Source organism: Homo sapiens, chromosome 3, assembly GCF_000001405.40.
Source record: "Homo sapiens chromosome 3, GRCh38.p14 Primary Assembly".
NCBI lineage: Eukaryota > Metazoa > Chordata > Mammalia > Primates > Hominidae > Homo > Homo sapiens.
In genome coordinates, this window is record NC_000003.12 from 98,913,855 (window position 1) to 98,934,948 (window position 21,094).

At 39.4% G+C, this 21,094-nt stretch overlaps 1 long non-coding RNA gene across 1 annotated transcript in view, besides 2 other annotated features; it reads left to right on the forward strand.

Moving 5' to 3' along the window:
• Positions 1-711: 711 nt before the first annotated feature.
• Positions 712-21,094, forward strand: part of LINC00973 (long intergenic non-protein coding RNA 973) — an 84,276-nt gene continuing 63,893 nt past the window's right edge. Inside the window, exon 1 of the long non-coding RNA NR_186665.1 lies at positions 712-843. This is a non-coding gene — a long non-coding RNA (long intergenic non-protein coding RNA 973). The remainder of the gene's footprint in view (positions 844-21,094) is intronic.
• Positions 8,991-9,285: an enhancer, noted in NCBI's record as "tiled region #3286; HepG2 Activating DNase matched - State 9:DNaseU". NCBI's record gives its function as "activates a minimal TATA promoter and a strong SV40 promoter by Sharpr-MPRA in HepG2 cells {active_cell/tissue: HepG2}" and the evidence as "EXISTENCE:reporter gene assay evidence [ECO:0000049][PMID:27701403]".
• Positions 14,712-14,903: a silencer, noted in NCBI's record as "fragment chr3:98647410-98647601 (GRCh37/hg19 assembly coordinates)". NCBI's record gives its function as "represses an EF-1alpha promoter that drives an FKBP-Casp9 reporter gene in an ReSE screen in phorbol 12-myristate 13-acetate-treated (for megakaryocytic differentiation) K562 erythroleukemia cells {active_cell/tissue: K562(+PMA)}" and the evidence as "EXISTENCE:reporter gene assay evidence [ECO:0000049][PMID:32094911]".

Consider the following 21,094-nt stretch of genomic DNA (forward strand, 5'->3'; position numbering starts at 1 on the left):
CACTATGGATATATTGAGAATGTAAAATGTCTTTGGAAAAAAAAGCAAAGCAGCTGAAAATTCTACATCCTGAACAATGAATGTTAATTTTAAAAATCAGGTTTCCAAATTGATTAAAAACAAGCTGCATTAAAATTATTATGGTAAAGTTTTTGGCCTATAGAGTAAAATGAGCTGCTCTACTGAGATGGTAAGTACCAACAGAATCACCTGATGGGGATTTTAAAAGTCCTGATAGCCCCTAATAGCACCTGTGGCCTCCTTGAATAGTGGTGAGAAAAATATTGAGAACCAATTGGTTGGAAGACTTAATTATGGCAACCATGTTGTGTAAATTCATCAGGGACTTTGGCTTTGTCAGATTTACATTAAAAAATTCTATATGTCTGTTTCTGCCAACTAAGCTTTTGTCCATCCCAGGCTACATATCATCCATATTCCTTCTCCTTTGCTGTAGGAATCTAAATGAAACACTTTGATCCATTAATGGAATGTAGCTGACCCAGTGCCCTCTCTGTCACAATGTTGATTCACGGCCACAACGTGCAATGGGCAGCAAGCCAGGCTGCAGATGGTGTCTAAACCCCGGTAACAGGTCATACGTGATGCTTGCTTAATGGGCTCCTCTGTCTTGAGCAAACAGATCACCCATCACAGTGGGTACGGGATTCTCGTTGTAGGAATTAGTTGCACACAATTTCCTCAGCATTCGTCAGAAAGCTGTTGGTGACCCAGATGAGGTGTTCTCTTGTAGCAAATGAAGAATCATATACTCTAATACTGGGTCACCTCCAATGCTCAGCAACCCTGGCCAGAAGAGAAGGAGATGGGGCTTCATGATTAGTGAGTATCAACCTCTGCTGGACATTTCCCCGACATGTATTATTGATGTCTCATGGCATCTCAGTGAGGCGAGTATAATTACTCACAACTATGGGCACACTGATTCAGTGATTAGGCTAGGTCTCACTGGGTTGAGACTCCAAGTCTGTCTAATGTGAGCACATGTGATTTTTTCCACTTGACCACACTGCCTCCATGTTGTTTTGGAAATTTTGCTTGCATCAATCAAAGTTCTTTCCAAAGCTTATTACCAACAGGCAACAAGGTAAATACCTAATAAAAGTGCATTTTTTTGTCATAAAATTGTGATTTGGTACAAATGGCTGTTTTGAAAACGATGTTAGTGAATACTCATTTTATCTCTTGTATTATCTAACATTTCATTTAAAAATTAAAGTCTTGTATATTTTGAAAGACATACAAGCCCAGGTCCTGGAGGTTAGCCGGGGTTGAATTTTGTATTTAGAGAATGTATCAGCATTCCTCAACTTTACCTAATGTAGTCTCCCAAGCCTCAAAGAATCTGAGACATTAATTTCTAGATAATTATGGGGGATTAACCACAAATGTTTATTCCCTCTTCCTGCCCTAAAAATGATGTTAAAGTGACAGAAGAAGAATTTAAAAGGTATGTGTCAATAAGGACAAGAGCTACAGTTTTATAAGTTGAGGGAATATCAGGCAGAAGGGCTAGAATTTGAGAATCAGAGCTGAAAATGAGGCTGGGAAGCAAATAAATGAATGTCTATATATTAAACTTTTTCCATCCCGCTTTCACAATTTCAAAGACCAGCCCATAGTGTGTACTTAAAAAATAAATAGGCTGTTCTGAAATTTCACTGAGATTCTGAAACATCCTGCATGCCAGTACTATTCACACTGCTTAATTTTGGTCTCGAGCCTGCCATGAGTTCCAGTGTGCCAGGCTTGATCAGTGGATACTTCCATCATGTATCCCTGCAGTCTGAAGACCCTATTTGCATTTTAGCAGCTACTTTCTTGGTGGGCAAGAGCATGTATTGACTTGGTGCCAAGCTAGTTGAGAAACAGCAGGCTCATTTTTACTAAGCCAGTTTGTCCACATAAAAACATGAAATTTTCTGAGTAATAATACTAGAATGTCACAACAAAGTGAACTGGGTCCTGATGGCATTTCTTCTCAACCACTGGTGGATCTTAGTATAACCCTTCACTACTGGCAACTTTAGTGGCCACAACATCGTTTTACTTCATGACAGTTGCTAAATTCTGAAGATCAGAGATGTATTAATTTTCCTTGCTTTTGGAACCACATAGATGACTCTGGAATTATAGCTCTCCCTCCCCTGCCACCCCATGAAAATTGGACAAAACCTTCCAATAGCACCCAGTAATTGATAGCTTCTAGAGGAGACAGTATCACCCAAATCTTGTTCACTGTAGGCAGTAGGCTCAATAATTGCTTTGGGTATGGCAAACTAACATCTTCACCTTTTTGTGAATCTACTGTCTCTGCTCTGGAAGCACACAACTGCCCTTCTGGCAGCACACCATCATCTTCAGGGACATAAAATCCAGCCCCAGGCCCCTCAGAGCCACAGAGAGAGCCACAGGGGTCCAGAACTTCTTGTGGAAGATGGTAGGAGACTTTAAAAGAACTTTTTATTGAAAAGACTTTGTTATGAGTTGGTACAATAGTCTCTTTCATAGATACTGAGTATGGAGTTACAGTACGACTGTTATTCCCTATTCCCTAATTTAATTAAATAAACCTTAAGCAATTTTTAAAATGTCTAACATATTGTCTTCAATACTATAGTAGAAAATAAATATGAATAAGTAATGACTCTTCCTTGAAGAAACTTATTAGAGATGATTAGATAAGCATCCAAATATATATAATACAAAGTAGAGTCCAGTGCATACCATGAAATAGGTATAGATGTAATGGATGGAGATATTGCATTTTATTGGAAGGATCTGGAAAGCTTCATAGAGGAGGACATGAAGAATGGACAGGATTTTAGTAAGTTGAAAGTTTAGGACACTATCAAAGAAGCAAATGACATGGACAAAGGCATGAAGGTAGATACATACAAAGTATTGTCTTAGGAGTTACTAGCTACCATGAAAACTATATTAATTTTTTCAGCCCCCAACAGCTGTCAAAATATTATTTAGGTCACTTTGATTCCTCATTTGCATTTTAATTCAACCATCTCTGACCTTTCTGTCAGAGAAACATTTATTTCTCCTTTTAGTTCCAGCAAGGAAGGTAAAACTTGAAGACATTGTAATTTGGGAGTATAATGTAAATGTGAATTTTTTATTTGTATCTACTTTCTGTGAAAGAGTTTGGAATATACTAGGACATCTTTATTTTCCATGGTGACTTAAAAGATGTCTGTTTTAATGATATAAAGATCATAATAACTGCAATCTCTTTGATTATCCTTGCCCACTATATAACATGTAATGGTCCTTAATTGCACTCCTTGTCAAATGAAAAAGTATTATACAAAGGAAGTGATACAGCCTGTGAACTGGTAAGTGTAGGAACTTTGTGAATTGTTCCACAGTGCGGAAGCATCCTTAATGAATCTTTGCTCACTGCTTTATCTGCCTTATTTTGAAAATGCAGTCTATGACTTACTTTTTTCTTTGACTGTGGGATGAAGTGATTACTCTTCTTCAAAGTTACCAAGTAATTAATACCATAGAATTGTTTGCACATAACTCTGAAGAAAAATCCTGAACATATCATCTGAATTATTGACAGATGGGTTTCAGAAAAGAAATTTAATTAAAGGAAAATTTATATAAAATATTAGGTCAATGTGCAGGCACATGGGAGCTGAGACAATGCTAGTCTTGAGACTGCCACATATGCTAATGCACTGTTAAATTCTAGGGAATGGCATTCATGTGATAGTCTAATGGAGGGAATGAAATTTCTGTTGCTGGGTAGTGCACAACCTCCATGGCCATACAAGGCAGCCCTGTCCATTCTTTGGGTTTTCTTTTGTTTTGCTTATTGTGGCTGAAGAGTCTCTTTGCCAAGTTTCCCTGTGTTTGTCTTCTGTCTTTCCTCTGGCTCTTACTTTTCCTAGAGCATGGCAATGGGATTCATTGGCAGCTCTGTTATCTTGGGCTGTCTTCAGCTGTGTCCTTGACTCCCTAGATTACACTGAACACTGGCATTCATATACCCACAGTCTTTGTTAAGAATTAGTAGGGAAAATTTCTCTGTGTTGCCATTTTTTTTTCTTCTGGATGTCAAGGTCTTCCCCTGTCTATGAGTTTTTATTCAGGGAGAATCGTATTTTGTCTTTTCATCCTTGTATTAGGGTGACTATATATTGTCCAATCAGAGACACTTTGAGATATATGGTCATCCTAATATAAAGGCACAAAAAGCAAACGTGATTGTCTCAAAAGGAGCTCTTGCTAATAGCACTGGAATACCAAGTATAAACTGGGACTTTTCTGGGGACTTTGGGTCATCTAATCTCTGACCCTTTTTCTTACAACTGATATGCAGTAGATTTATACCATAAAGGGCAGATACTAGAGTTTTGGAATATTTTCATTCAGTAAGTAAATAGTCATTGTCCTGTTTTCCCCAAGTGTGCCCTCACCACTGTGGCTCCTACTCTACAGATCTCCTTACTGTCTAGCATCTAATCTGGCAACCTGTAGCATGGTTGGAGGATTCTAGGCCCCTGCACAGGGGCTGAGGTTGGCATCTGATAAGGACATGTGCTATACCAGTTACTAAATAATGTTGATATTACCCTAGTCATTTTCTATCTATCTACAAAGCCCCACTTTTCTCTGTAACTTTGTCATTCTATTAAGGTCTAGTCCCAGGACTGTGAAGACACTCAAGCGTTAGTTTGCTGTTTCATTCCTACATACATGTGAGCCATATCCAATTTGCTAGGAGTTATTTGTGTACATATAATAAATACCAAGCTATTTTTTGATGCAAGGAGAAGGTATTTGATTTTGTTATTAACATCACAGAACTGCAGTATGATTAAATTTACTGTAAGCAAGCAGCTTTGAAAAAAGAGCTCTGTCTCTTGTCACAATCTCAGCATTGTAGAAGATTGTTTCTGTCTGTGATTCTACTCCCCTGACTGGAATGTGGAGAAGATGACTAGTTATATAAATAAGATTAGAAAAACTAGAGGAGTGTTTCAAAGAAGCACTAAAACAGATAATGTTTAGATAACTAAAAAGAAGTTAGAAAACTATTGTGTCTTTTGCTTAAAAATCATATACCAAAATATTTTCAGTTATTGGGTCAAATTAAGATCTTCCCAGGAGCAATAGAGGAAAAGAAAAAAAATGAGATGAAACAAAAAACTCCCCTTTTTAGGAGCATTAATTTTAAAAAAGGATGAAATACTCCCCTCCCATAGGGCAAGTGTGAATTGAAGGATGAGCTCTAGATCAAAAGTTGATATTTTCATGGCTTTATATTAATGTGAGATCTGAAATTTTTAAAATGCTAAGAGGCAATTGACAAAAGCTTCTTTGGGAAGTTGGTATCTTTTTTTGTAATGCACAGAACTAAATAAGGGGAAGACAGAAGGTCTAGGGATGTGGTGAAGCTGTGGAAAGAGCATTATAATCTAGAGTCAGGAAGGCCTGGGTTCAAATCCCAATTCTGCCCTTTGGTAACTAATGTCTGTGTAGAATGACTTCCTCATCTTAGAACAACATAAATATTCCTTTCCCTATGAACTTGTTGTCAGCATTTAGCAATTTAATGTAGGCAAAATACCTACTACCAACCCTACTCCATAGTAAACACTTAATAAATCTGCACTTTAGAATCTGGAATATTTTGATGCAAACTGCAGAAACTAAGGAGTAGCCTAAGGCAAAGAGAAAGGAAGGGTCAGTGTGACCTGAAAACTGGATGGGTCTGTATATGTCAAGGTCTGTGGAGTGTGTGGAGAGCTGAAAGAAGAGTACGCAATATAGGAAGCAGAAAGAATGAAGCTAGGGCTTGTTGAAGAGATATCAGCAGCTGATTTCATTTATCAAGTTAAGATCAGAAAGCAACCTGGCTTATACATGATGGCCTTGCTTCTCTGAGACTCAAAAAGAGACTTGTGGCAATTTCTGGACCTAGAATGAAAAGAAAGGCATACTGTTAGAATTATTGTGCCCCGTGGGTCAGTTTATAGCCTTGTTGGGTTTATAGCCTTGAAGTTCATAGACTCCCGGGGGAGCTCTAATTGTGCTTCAGGAGGCTTTTTGAGCCTCCTGAAATTGAGTGCAAAATTTGGTACATATTTGTATTTTCTGGGAACAGGTTCCATTGCTTTTTTCAGATTCAACAAGTTTCTGATTTCTGATTCTTCTGGTTCTGGTAGTTAACTCCCCAGTACTCATTTCATAGCTTGCACATCGTATGTCAGCAATATATTTTTGAGAATTAATATCAGTTTTGGGGGAGCATACTTGATCTAAGGGTAACTCCATGCTCTTTTGCAAAATTTGCTTCAAATTCAGAAAGAATAGATGAATAAACCTGATGTACCCATCACCCAGCTTTTCCCCTTCACCCTTGAGAGAGAAAAGCTGCCCTTCCTCCAAATGCACATGTCTGAGGAAGCATTTGGCCCAGCCTGGAAACCAGCCTACAATATGAGATGAGGAATCTGACACTGTGGGTGTAAGAGCAAAGAGAGGAAAAGAACTAGAATCTTCATGACATTGTTGAGCCACTGGTTCAACAATGTTCTGAAGCCTGGACTATGTCTGGGCTTCCTCTCCTGTGAGCTAATAAATGTTCTTATTTAAATAAGCTTGAATAAGGTTTTATGTCACTTGCAACCAAGCGTATCCGATTAGTCCCCAAAGTTTGAAAGCCAATGGTTTACACTGCATTAAAAAAGAGACATCTTAGCGAATGCTTAAATGAACTGATCAGGGTTTAAAAAGTATTTCAGCATAACTAGATAATATGATGTATTTGTGTACTTTACCTCATCTACAGTACTTAAATAACTAGCTTTTCTCTCTGAGGTAGTTGTAGGAGTGCCCCAAACCCTTTCATAGTGGTAAGAGAATAAAAGAGCACTACCATTTAAAAGAAGGAAGAGTGGGAAAGTTAGAGTGTGTATGTGTGAGGTTTTTAGTTATGCAGTGTATACATTTTATGGAATCACAACAGTTCAGAAAAGCTGAGGCATACAAAAAATGTAATTGAGAGGGTCTCTGTCTCAAGACATCACTGGGGAGGGAGATGTCTGCTTTTAGGTCTTGATCTATGGTGCCACTGGCTAGCCTTTTGATCTAGAAGTGATCCTTCTGTTTTGGTGTTTGCCATTGGTGATTGTAGTGCTCCAGCTGCATTGGCAACGGTATGGTGTGTGGACAACAACCCAACTCATGCTCTACCCCTGCCTCTACCACCTGCAAAGACACAAATCCAAATCCAAACTTTAGTGGTGTACTATCTACCCTGGATCTTACTGACATGCATTCCTTGTCCAGACTGCACAGCCCTAAATAGGCATATCATCTTGCTTTATCTCCAGAGGACTCTCCCGAAACCCCACTCAGAACCCACAGGTACTTTCAAATGCTCTCTATACCACTTTAGGTTATGAACAACTTGGGAGGATGAGGAGGATAATCTGTAGCCCTCTCATGGCTAGATCTGCTGTGCTGCTATCTCTATAGACCCCACTATGACTATGTGAAGGTGCTTCTTCCAACATTTCAGACAGAAAGCTAGGCAAATGTCTACTCTACTCTTGGAACTCAAAGAGAAACCTGGGAGGAATTCTGTGAGTCTGTTCTTGCTACTATACTGTTTGCCTTTTTATCAATCACTCAGGTTACTGCATAGACAGCATAGTATTCTAGTCTGCAGAAGATACAATGCTGGGAGAAATAGCTGAACACAAAATAATAGCCGGAAACACTTGTCTAGTGCTCACTATATCCACTCTTCTATGTGATTTGCATAAATTAGTTCATTTGATTCTTATTTCACAGATGAGGAATGGTGTATTGAGACATCAAGTCACTTGCCCAAGGCCACATAGCAAGGAAATGATAGAGTTAAGTTTTGAGCCCGAGTAGACTGGATCTAAAGTACAAGCTCTTAATCATTATGTATTGAAGGCCTTTAGCATGATCTAATAGAATGGATTCTTTAGATTTCCTAAAACAAGGGATAGAAAATGACAGTGGGAAGGGGGTGACTATTTAGTGGTCTGTATAAAAAAGAACAAGGCTTTTTAGTTGGTCGTAATCTGGATTTGAACAGCAGATAAGTAAGCTGCTCCTAAGAAGGAAGCAGTCTTCTGACCAAAAAAACTATGGTTCAGGAGACAGAAAGTGAATATTTTATCATACTCTAACTACTTTGACCCATAGGACTATGCTGGAATACTTTAAGTCTGGTGTCGGAGTTCATGATGAATTTTGTCAGGCTCAAGAGGTCTAGGACATTTGCCAACATTTTCTTCAGTCCAGTGACCACTTCTCATGACGGGAGACAAAAGCTTGGCAAAGAGGTCATGTAATGCCAGCTTTCAGATATTCCAAGAATCATCATAAGGAAGAGGCATAGATTGTGAGGTTACAGAGTTAATATCTTAAGATCAGAAACAATCATCTAAATACTCAAAGTCTTCAAAATGTTCAAAGACAATAGTCAAGGCTACCTCATTAAGTAGTGAGCTCTCAGGCAATAGAAGGTTCAAGTATTTGAATCACGATTTGTTGAACACCCTATTTGTTGGAAAATTATATCAATTAGAATACCATTCCAACAAGACTGTTTTAAGAATCTTTACAAAGATAGGTTAGGCCCCCCAAAATGTGTCTCACACAGTTGTTAACTAGAAAATACCAAATTAGTATAGGCTTTTCAAAACTCTTATTAGTACATACTGACGGGCAATATTACAAACAAAATATGAAAGAATAATATTTATGATGAAACATATAAACTGCTTAATATGCATTTTGGAAAAATGTTGGAAACTCAATTTCAGATGAATGTTTTCCTGCCACTTTACTGTTTTTGAGTGCTGTCTTTGGGGAAATATTGCAATAAATAAAAGTGGGAAAGTTAAGTGGCTGAGCACCCTGTCAAGATGCCCTGTACAGCAAGTGCACTTGTGATAAGTGCAGAAGGGAGAAAAGGTTAATGTAATCAGAGAAATGCGTTCTGGGTCACCCTAAAGAACATGTCTTGTGAGTCATCTGTGTTCACATTTCTTTGAACTTTGTCTATCCTAACGGAGATGAAGCAATTACATAGACATAATGTCTTACCCTTTTAGTACAATGCATTCCGCATTCCTCAATCCATTCATCATCATCAGTGATATTTGTATTCAATGCTGTCATGCAGAGCTAGCTGCCAACAATTATTAAAAAGAAAGCCATAAGGTCATACATTTAGGAGATAAAGCAAAACCAATTATTACAATGTGTACTATGAAGACATCAATCCATTAAGGGGAAAAATCACTAAGCTCCTCAAAGATACTTTTGCATCAAGGATTATCTTGTATTCAGAGACCTAAAGTAAATGAAGTGATTATCTGTCACTTGTAGTTCCTCCTCTCTGAAATGAAATCCACAATGACTGTAGCATTGCTGCATAGCAACTTCCCTCTCTCTTTTTGCTCACCATTTTACCTATATTCTCACTGGTTAATTTCTCTGGACTTTCCTTATTACCTGCTTTTATCCTTCAAAAGCAAACAATAAAAATATTCTCAGAGGCCAGGTGTGGCAGTTCGTGCCTGTAATCCCAGCACTTTGGGAGGCCATGGTGAGAGGATTATTTGAGCCCAGGAGTTTGAGACTGGCCTGGGAAACATGGCGAAACCCTGTCTCTACAAACAATACAAAAATTAGCTGGGCGTGGTGGCATGTGCCTGTGGTCCCAGCTACTCAGGAAGCTGAGGTGGGAAGATCACCCAGGTCCAGGAGGTGGAGGCTGCAGTGAGCTGAGATCGCACCACTGCACTCCAGCCTGGGTGACAGAGCAAGACCCTGACTCAAAAAACAAAACAAACACAAAAGAAACTTTAAGATTTCATTACTAGAAATATTTGATGTAGCAAGTGTCCTGTCTGCCACAGTGTTAGTACTATTCTTCCCAGCTTCTTAGACAAAGAAAGGGGCTGTTTTAAATATATGTATTTTCTTTTCTCTTTCTTCTCTTTTACATCTCCTTTCTCCCCCTTCCTCCTCCTCCCCTTCTCCTCATGCCCCACTCATCTTCCGCCTTCCTTTCTCTCCTCTTCTCCTTCTTCTTCTCTTCCTACCTGCCCCTCCTCTTCTTTCTCCTTTCCTCTCCTCCTTCTCTTCCTCATCCAACTTCTGCCTCTCCCCACTCCATGATTACCTTCAAAATGAAGTTGTTGATCCGAATCAGTTTTCCGATGCCACTAATAAAATAGCATGTACATAGTGCTTGCTATTTGCAGAGCAGTGTTCTAAAGGCATTACATATATTGACTGATTTAATCTTCTCAACAACCCTAGGAGATAGGCAGTACTGATAAATCCTTTCATAGAAGAAAAACTGAAATATCAAGAAGTTACATAATTTGCCATTTGTCATATGGCTAATGAGGTCTGATATGGTTTGGCTCTGTGTCCCTACCCAAATCTCACCTTGAATTGTAATAATCCCCATGTTTTAAGGGTGGGATCAGGTGGAGATAATTGAATCACGGATGCGGTTTTCCCCCGGCTGTTCTCATGATACTGAGTGAGTTCTCACGAGATCTGATGGTTTTAAAAGGGGCTTTCCTTCACTCGGCTCTCATTCTCTCTGCTGCTGCCTTGTGAAGAGGTGCCTTCTGTGATTGTAAGTTTCCTGAGTCCTCCCTAGCCATGTGGAACTGAGAGTTAATTCAACCTCCTTCTTTTATGAATTTCCCAGTCTCAGGTATTTCTTCATAGCAGCTTGAGAACAGACTAATACAAGGTCTGAGCATAGCACTGTGATTGAAAGGCCATGCCTGAACCATTAATATGCACCACTCCTCTAACTCTAGGGTCTTCCAGAGCAGCGATTTCCTTAGAGGCTAAGGAAGAAGGAAATTAACATATACTGATTGCCTAATTTATCCCAGGCCCTCCCACGTGTTGTATAGCTAGATCTCTGCAACAATACTACAAATCAGGCATTATTATCTCTGCTTCACAAACAAAGTTAAAAACATTGTCCAATGTCACGCTGTGAGCCACAAAAACAGATTTTCATGTAGCTGATTCTGTAAGGTACCCTCTTTGGAACATACTAGAGTATGGCCTGTAACTAGAGATGCAATGAGTAGCCTTTACCTGAGGCCTCATCTTTGGCATTATCTTCATGCTCTGATATTTGTGTCTAAATAACCTCTTGGATACTCTAGAAGACTTGAACTACCTAGTCAAGGCTGCATCTGCCTCCTTTAACCTGGTCTTAAGAATTTATTGTCTGGCCATGGTGGCTCACGCCTGTAATCCCAGCACTTTGGGAGGCCACGGCGGGCAGATCACCTAACGTCAGGAGTTTGAGACCAGCCTGGCCAACATGGGGAAACCCCATCTCTACTAAAAATACAAAAATTAGCTGGGAATGGTGATGTGCATCTATAATCTCAGCTACTCTGGAGGCTGAGGGAGAATTGCTTGAACCCAGGAGGCAGAGGTCACAGTGAGCCGAGATCGCACAAATGCACTCCCACCTGAGCGACATGGCGAGACTCCATCTCAAAAAAAAAGGGAAGAATTTATTTTTTATTTTTATTTTTTTTTTTTAATTTTGAGTCAGGGTCTCATTCTGTCATCTAGGTTGAAGTGGAGTGGTGTGATCATGGCTCACTGCAGCCTTGACCTCCTGAGATCAAGCCGTCTTCCTACCTCAGCCTGCCATGTAGCTGGGACTACAGGGGTACACCACCATGCCTGGATAATTTTTGTATTTTTTGTAGATTTGGGCATGTCCCTGTGTTGGCCGGGCTGGTCTTGAACTCCTCAGCTCTAGCAGTTCTCCCACGTTGGCCTCCCAAAGTGCTGGGATTACAGGTGTGAGCTACTGTGCTAAGCTAATAATTCATTTTTTTAATCTAGAAGACTCACAAGGCCTCATCTGGTCCTGACTCTGATATACACCACAAATTTTTGTCTTTCTTTGTTACCCCAATTCCTAAAATGAGATATTGAGAAGCAATACTTAAAGGAGAACCATATGTATCAAATTCTAAGAATTATTAGATTGAACCACAGGGGACTAATGCTTTTGTGTATTAAATAAGTAAAACAGTATAATTTCATATGGGTCAACATCATTTAAGTTTTATATTCCCCATTTTTATTTCCACTTATGTAAAAATAATTATAGAAAATATACTATTTTTAAGGTAAACATAATCTTATTATCAAGGAAAAATTACCAGGACGTTTTATATAATTTTATTTCTTATATAAGTCATAAGTGTGAATCAAACAGCCCTGGCAGCTAGTGTCTGCCATGCTGCTACATCGTAAAGGACACTTTAAAAAATACAATGAGTTCCATGAAAATAAAAATACAACATATCCAAATATATGGAATGCATGAAATCAGTGCTGAGAGGGAAATTTATAGCACCAAATGCTTACTTTAGAAAATAAAAGTTCTCAAATTAATAATTGAACTTTCTATCTAAAGAAACTGGAAAAACAATAGTTAGATACTCCCCTGACAAGCAGAAGATGGAAGTAATACAAATAAGGACAGAATCAATAATCTTGAAAACAGAAAAACAATAGAGAAAATCAGTGAAGCAAAAAACTGGCTGTAAAGGTCAACAAAATTGATATACTTCTAAAAGACTAAAAACATTTAAAAAGAGAAAATTTAAATTACTCATATTAGGAATGAAACAGGGTGTGTGATTATAGACCTTTTAGACATCATAAGAATAGTAAGTAAATATTACAAACAATTCTACATGTAAACTTGACAGTTTGTTGAAATGAATAAATGCCTCAAAAAGCGCAAACTACCAGAACTCAATATGAAATATATAATCTGAATAACTCCATAACTATTAAAGAATTTGTATTTATAATTTAACCTTCTCCTTCCCCCCAAAAAACCCTCCAGGCACAGACAGTTGCACTGGTGAATGCTTCCAGGCTTTTAAAGGATAACTAATAATAATTCTATAAAACCTCTTCCAGAAAATAGAAGAGAGAACACTTTCCAATTCATTTTATGTGATCAGCACTAATTTGATGCCAAAATCTGGCAAAGGCATTACAAGAAAAAAAGTAAACTATGCAGCAATATTCCACATGAACATATACACAATGCTCAATAAAATATTAGTAAGTTGAATTCAGCCATATGTAAAAGAGTCGTGATCAACAACTGAGTGAGGTTAATTACATGAATGCCAAGTTGATTTAATGTTTAAAAATAAATCAATTTAATTCATTATGTTAGAGACTAAAAGGAAAACCACATGATCATAACAATTGACACAGCAAAAGCATTTGAAAAATTTAATATTCACATTCATGAGTTTTATATTTTAAAAAATTCATTTTCAATATTTATGAGTTTTATAAAAACTCAGCAAACTCAGACTATAAGGGAATATACTTAACCTGATAAAAGGCATCTATAAAAATGGCAAACCTAATTTAATATTTAATTGTGAAATACGAAATGCTTTCCAGAAAAAAAGTAAGAACGTTTAATCTCAACTCTTCTATTCAACAATGTACTAAAAGTTCTAGTTATTGCAATAAGACGAGTAAAAGAAATTAGGCCAATCGAGCCAAGATAGCCAATTAGAAGCAGGTGTGGTCTGTGGCATTCACAGAGAGGAATGATCAAAGAGGAGTGTGAATTCAGCACCTTCAACTGAAATATCCAGGTTCTTGCATTGGGACTGACCAGGCAAACAATCCAACCCACAAAGAACAAAGAAAACTAGGGAGCTGGTGGGACAATGGCCCAACTGGGAGTGGCACCGAGAGGAACCCCCAACCCCAGCCAAGGGAAGTGGTAGGTGATTATGCAACCTGGACTGGGAAACCATGCTTCTCCCATGGACCTTTACAATCCATGGATCAGGAGATTCCCTCATGAGCCCACACCACCAGGGCCTTGGGTCTGATACACAGAGCTGTGTGGAGTCTCGGCAGAGCAGCTGTTCAGGCATAGACAGAGGCCCAGGAGTTTTACATTCTCCCACCCCAGGATTCCTGTCAAGGTGCGAAATCCATCCATACATATACTTAGGAAGGGGGCTAAATCCAGGGAGCCAAGCAGCTTATTTCTGAGGGCCCCACTCCCACGGAACCTCATAAGTTAAGACCCACTGGTTTGGAATCCCAACCTGCCAATGGCAGTGGGTTGGAGTCTGCCTGAGATGGGTCTGAGGTCCTGTGTGGAGGGGTGACCACCATCTCTGCAATTCTGTTGATTTAGCCACTCCAGCCTGCCAGCTATGGAGAATACAGATGATCAGATGAGGATGGGTCCTTTACAACACAGTACAGCTGCCTTGCCAGAGCAAAGCCAGACTGCTTCTTTAAATGGGACCCCAATCCATTCTTTCTTACTGGCAGGACCTCCCTGTGGGGGCTTCAACCATGCCAGCAAGAGTTCTATGGACAGAGCTCTGATCTTTCCCTGGGAGGAAGCCCTCAGGAGGTGGGGCAGCTGCCATTTCTGCAGTTCGGTTCACTTAGTTGTTTCAGTCTGCTGGCTGTGGAGAATACAGATGGTCTGGATGAGGAAGGGTCCACCGCAGTGCAGCACAGCTACCTTTCCAGATTGTGGCCAGACTGCTTTTTTTTTGAGACAGAGTCTCGCTCTGTCACCCAGGCTAGAGTGCGGAGGCGCGATCTCAGCTCACTGCAAGCTCCGCCTCCCGGGTTCACGCCATTCTCCTGCCTCAGCTTTGCGAGTAGCTGGGACTACAGGCGCCTGCCACCGCGCCGGCTAATTTTTTTGGTATTTTTAGTAGAGACAGGGTTTCACCTTGGTCTCGATGTCCTGACCTCGTGATCTGCCCGCCAAGTGGGATCCCGATCCATTCCTCCTCACTGGGCAGGATCTCCTTGCAGGGGCTTCAGCCACTCCAGCCAGGGTTCTACAGATAAAACTCTGATCTCTCCCTGGGATGGAGTTCCTGGGGGAAGGGCTGCCACCATCTCTGTGGTCCTGTTGATTCAGCTGCTCCAGCATGCAGACTGTGGAGAATACAGGCTGTCTGGACAAGGAAGGGTCTCCCAGAGTGCAGCACAACTGCTCTACCAAAAAGCAGTCAGACTGCTTCTTTGGGTAAGTCACTGATTCTGTTCCTCCTGACTGGGTAAGCCCTCCCAATGGGGGTCTCCAGCAACCTCCTGATGCATGTGGGTTGGCAACAGGTCAGAACCGCCCCGGGATGGAACTTCCACAGGAAGGAGCTTGCTACTATCTTTGCTGTTTTAAAGGCTTCACTGGTGATAAGTCCAGGTATGGGAAAAAAACAAGGCAACTGGGATCTGGACCAGACCCCCAGCAAACTTCAGCAGACCTATGATAGAATGGCCTGAGGGTTATTATAAAAGAAAAACAAACACACAAACAAAAAACAACAGCATTAAAAAAAAAACCCACAAGGCCGGGCGCGGTGGCTCACGCCTGTAATCCCAGCACTTTGGGAGGCCGAGGCGGGCGGATCATGAGGTCAGGAGATCGAGACCATCCTGGCTAACACAGTGAAACCCCGTCTCTACTAAAAATACAAAAAATTAGCCGGGCGTGGTGGCGGGCGCCTGTAGTCCCAGCTACTCGGGAGGCTGAGGCAGGAGAATGGCGTGAACCCGGGAGGCGGAGCTTGCAGTGAGCCGAGATCGCGCCACTGCAGTCCAGCCTGGGCGACAGAGCGAGACTCCGTCTCAAAAAAAAAAAAAAAAAAAAAAAAAAAACCCACGAAAACCTTATTCAAATGTTAGCAACCTCAAAGATCGAAGGTAGATAAGCCTACAAAGATGAGAAATAATCAACACAAAAATGCTGAAAACTCAAAAAACCAGAGTGCTTCTTCTCAAAATGATTGCAGCACCTCTCCAGGAAGGGCACAGAACTGGACTGAGGCTGAGATGGCTGAATTGACAGAAGTAAGCTTCAGAAAGTGAGTAATAACAAACTTTGCTAAGCTAAAGGAGCATGTTATAATGTAATGCAAACAAGCTAAGAATCATGATAAAACATTACAGGAGCTGATAGCCAGAATAGCCAGTTAAGAGAGAAACATAACCAACCTGATGGAGCTGAAAAACACAACACAAGAAATTCATAATGCAATCATAAGCATCAATAGCAGAATAGACCAAGCAGAGAAAAGAATCTCAGAGCTTGAAGGTTATCTTTCTGAAATAAGATAGACAGACAAGAATAGAGAAAAAATAATTAAAAGGAATGAACAAAACCTCTGAGAAATATGGGATTACGTAAAGAGACTGAACCTATGGCTGATTGGGATACCTGAAAGAGACAGGGAAAATGAAAACAAGTTGGAAAACATACTTCAGGATATCATCCAAGAGAACTTCCCCAATTTAGCAAGACAGGGCAACATTCAATTTTGGGAAATGCAGAGAACCCCAGTCAGATACTCCATGAGAAGATCAACCCCAAGACACCTAACCATCAGACTCTCCAAGGTTGAAATGAAATAAAAAATATTAAGAACAGCCAGAGAGAAAGGACTGTTCACCTACAAAGGGAAACCCATCATACTAAAAGCAGAACTCTCAGTGGAAACCCTATAAGCCAAAAGGATTGGGAAGCAATATTCAACATTCTTAAAGAAAATAATTTCCAACCCAGAATTTCATATCTGGCTGAACAATAGTTCATAAGCAAAGGAGAAATAAGATTTTTTTCAGACAAGCAAATGCTGAGGGAATTTGTCACCACTGGGCCTGCCTTGCAAGAGCTCTTGAAGAAAGCACTAAATATGGAAAGGAAAAACCATTACCAGCCACTACAAAAACACACTGAAATACATGAGCCAGTGACACTATGAAGCAACCACATAAACAAGTCCTTAAAATAACCACATAACCAAGTCTTTAAAATAACCAGCTAGCATCATGATGACAGGATCAAATTCACACATAACAATACTAAATGTAATGTAAATGGGCTAAATGCCCCAATTAAAAGACACAAAATAGCAAGCTGGATAATGAGCCAAGATGCCATTGGTATTCTGTTTTCAAGAGACCCATCTCACATGCAAAGCACACATATGCTCAAAATAAAGGGATGGAGAAAAATTTACCAAGTAAATGGAAAACAGAGAAAAGCAGGGGTTGCAATACTACCTTCTGACAGAACAGACTTTAAACGAACAAAGATTAAAAGAAGACAAAGAAGGGCATTACATAATGGAAAAGGGTTCAATTCAAGAAGAAGAGCTGACTCTCCTAAACGGACTCAATACAGGAGCACCCAGATTCATAAAGAAAGTTCTTAGAGACCTACAAAGAGACTTAGACTCCAACACCATACTAGTAGGAGAATTTAACACTCCACTGACAATATTAGGTCATTGAGACAGAAAATTAACAAAGGTATTCAGAACCTCAACTCAGCTTTGGATCAAGTGGATGTGATAGATATCTACAGAACTCTCCACATAATGGAGACCATATTGTCCAATGTGAACATATTGGTAACATAATCAGAAGTAAAACATTCCTCAGCAAATGCAAAATAACTGAGATAATAATAAACAGTCTCTCAGACCATCATGCAATCAAATTAGAATTCAAGATTAGGAAATTCTCTAAAACCACACAACTACATGAAAATTGAACAACCTGCTCCTGAGTGATTCTTGGGTAAATAATGAAATTAAGGCAGAAAACAAAAAGTTCTTTGAAACTAATAAGAACAAAGAGACAACATACCAAAATCTTTGGGATGCAACTAAAGCAGTGTTTTTTAATTTAATTTAATTTTATTTTATTTTGTATATTTTTATTATACTTTAAGTTCTAGGGTACATGTGCACAATGTGCAGGTTTGTTACATATGTATACATATGCCATGTTGGTGTGCTGCACCCATTAACCTGTCATTTACATTAGGTATATCTCCTAATGCTATCCCCTCCCTCCCCCATCCCACAACAGGCCCCAGTGTGTGATGTTCCCCTTCCTGTGTCCATGTGTTCTCATTGTTCAATTCCCACCTATGAGTGAGAACATGCGGTGTTTGGTTTTTTGTCCTTGCGATAGTTTGCTGAGAATGATGGTTTCCAGCTTCATCCTTGTCCCTACAAAGGACATGAACGCATCATTTTTTATGGCTGCATAGTATTCCATGATGTATATGTGCCACATTTTCTTAATCCAGTCTATCATTGTTGGACATTTGGGTTGGTTCCAAGTCTTTGCTATTGTGAATAGTGCCGCAATAAACACACGTGTGCATGTGTCTTTATAGAAGCATAATTTATAATCTTTGGGTATATACCCAGTAATGGGATGGCTGGGTCAAATGGTATTTCTAGTTCCAGATCCCTGAGGAATCGCCACACAGTCTTCCACAATGGTTGAATTAGTTTACACTCCCATCAACAGTGTAAAAGTGTTCCTATTTCTCCACATCCTCTCCAGCACCTGTTGTTTCCTGACTTTTTAATGATCACCATTCTAACTGGTGTCAGATGGTATCTCATTGTGGTTTTGATTTGTATTTCTCTGATGGCCAGTGATGATGAGCATTTTTTCATGTGTCTTTTGGCTGCATAAATGTCTTCTTTTGAGAAGTGTCTGTTCATATCCTTCGCCCACTTATTGATGGGGTTGTTTGTTGTTTCTTGTAAATTTGTTTGAGTTCTTTGTAGATTCTGGATATTAGCCCTTTGTCAGATGAGTAGATTGCAAAAATGTTCTCCCATTCTGTAGGTTGCCTGCTCACTCTGATGGTAGTTTCTTTTGCTGTGCAGAAGCTCTTTAGTTTAATTAGATCCCATTTGTCAGTTTTGGCTTTTGTTGCCATTGCTTTTGGTGTTTTAGACATGAAGTCCATGCCTGTGTCCTGAATGGTATTGCCTCGGTTTTCTTCTAGGGTTTTTATGGTTTTAGGTCTAAAATTTAAGTCTTTAATCCATCTTGAATTAATTTTTGTATAAGGTGTAAGGAAGGGATCCAGTTTCAGCTTTCTACTTATGGCTAGCCAGTTTTCCCAGCACCATTTGTTAAACAGGGAATCCTTTCCCCATTTCTTGTTTTTGTCAGGTTTGTCAAAGATCAGATAGTTGTAGATGTGTGGTATTATTTCTGAGGGCTCTGTTCTGTTCCACTGGTCTGTATCTCTGTTTTGGTCCCAGTACCATGCTGTTTTGGTTACTGTAGCCATGTAGTATAGTTTGAAGTCAGGTAGCGTGATGCCTCCAGCTTTGTTCATTTGGCTTAGGATTGACTTGGTAATGTGGGCTCTTTTTTGGTTCCATATGAACTTTAAAGTAGTTTTTTTTCCAGTTCTGCGAAGAAAGTCATTGGTAGCTTGATGGGGATGGCATTGAATCTGTAAATTACCTTGGGCAGTATGGCCATTTTCATGATATTGATTCTTCCTAGCAGTGTTAAGAGGGAAATTTATAGCACTAAGTGCCCACATCAAAAGCTAGAAAGAGGTCTAGTTAACAACCTAACATCACAACTAAATGAGCTAAAAAACCAACAGCAAACAAACCCCAAAGCTAGCAGAAGGCAAGAAATAACCACGATCAGAGATGAACTGAATGAGATAGAGACACAAAAAAATCCCTTCAAAAAATCAACAAATCCTGGAGGTGTTTTTTTGAAAAAATTAATAAAAGAAATTGCCACTAGCTAGACTAATAAAGAAAAAAGAGAGATTATTCAAATAAATACAATCAGAAATGATAAAGGGAATATCACCACTGACCCCACAGAAATAATAACAACCATCAGAGAATACTATAAATACCTCTATGCACAGAAACTAAAAAATCTAAGAGAAATGAATAAATACCAGACACGTACACCCTCCCAAGATTGAGCCGGAAAGAAACTGAATCCCCAAATAGACCAATATTGAGTTCTGAAATTGCGGCAGTAATAAATACCCTACCAACCAAAAAAGCACAGGGCCAGATGGATTCACAGCTGAATTCTACTAGAGGTACAAAGAAAAGCTGGTACCATTTCTACTGAAACTATTCCAAAGAATTGAAAAAGAGGCACTCCTCCCTAACTCATTCTATGAGGCCAGCATCATCCTGATACCAAAACCTGGCAGACATACAACAAAAAAAAGAAAACTTTAGGCCAATATCCTTGATGAACATCGATGCAAAAATCCTCAATAAAATACTGGCAAACCGAATCCAGCAGCACATCAAAAAGCTTATCCACTACGATCAAGTAGGCTTCATTCCTGGGATGCAAGTTTGGTTTAACATATGCAAATCAATAAATGTGATATATCACATAGACTGAACTCAAGACAGAAACCACATGATCATCTCAATAGATGCAGAAAAGGGCTTTGATAAAATGTAACATCCTTTCATGTTAAAAACTCTCAATAAACTAGGTATTAAGGGAACATACCTCAAAATAATAAGATCATATATGACAAACTGAAGGCCAATATCACACTGAATGTGCAAAAGCTGGAAGCATTTCCTTGAAGACTGGCAAAAGACCATGATGCCCTCTCTCACTACTCCTATTCAACATAGTATTGGGAGTTCTGGCCAGGGCAATCAAAGAAGAGAAAGAAATTAAGAAGATTCAAATAGGAAAAGAGGAAGTAAAATTATCTTTGTTTGCAGATGAATTTCATATTTGGCCAAACTAAGCTTCATAAGTAAAGGAGAAATGAAGTCCTTTTCAGACAAGCAAATGCTAAGGGACTTCATTACCACTAGACCTGCCTGATAAGAAGTCCTAAAGGGAGTGCTAAACAGAAATTAAAGAACAATACGTGCCACCACAAAACACCCTTAAGTACATAGCCCATTGGCACTACAAAGGAATTAGGCAATCAAGTCTACATAAAAACCAGCTAACAGCATGATGACAGAATCAAATCCTCACATATCAATATTGACCTTAAGTGTAAATTGGCTAAATGCCTAATTTAAAAGGCATAGAGCGGCAAGTTGAGTAAAGAAGCAAGACCCAACTGTCTGCTGTATTCAAGAGGCTCATCTCACAAGTAACAACACCCATAGACTCAAAGTAAAGGGATGGA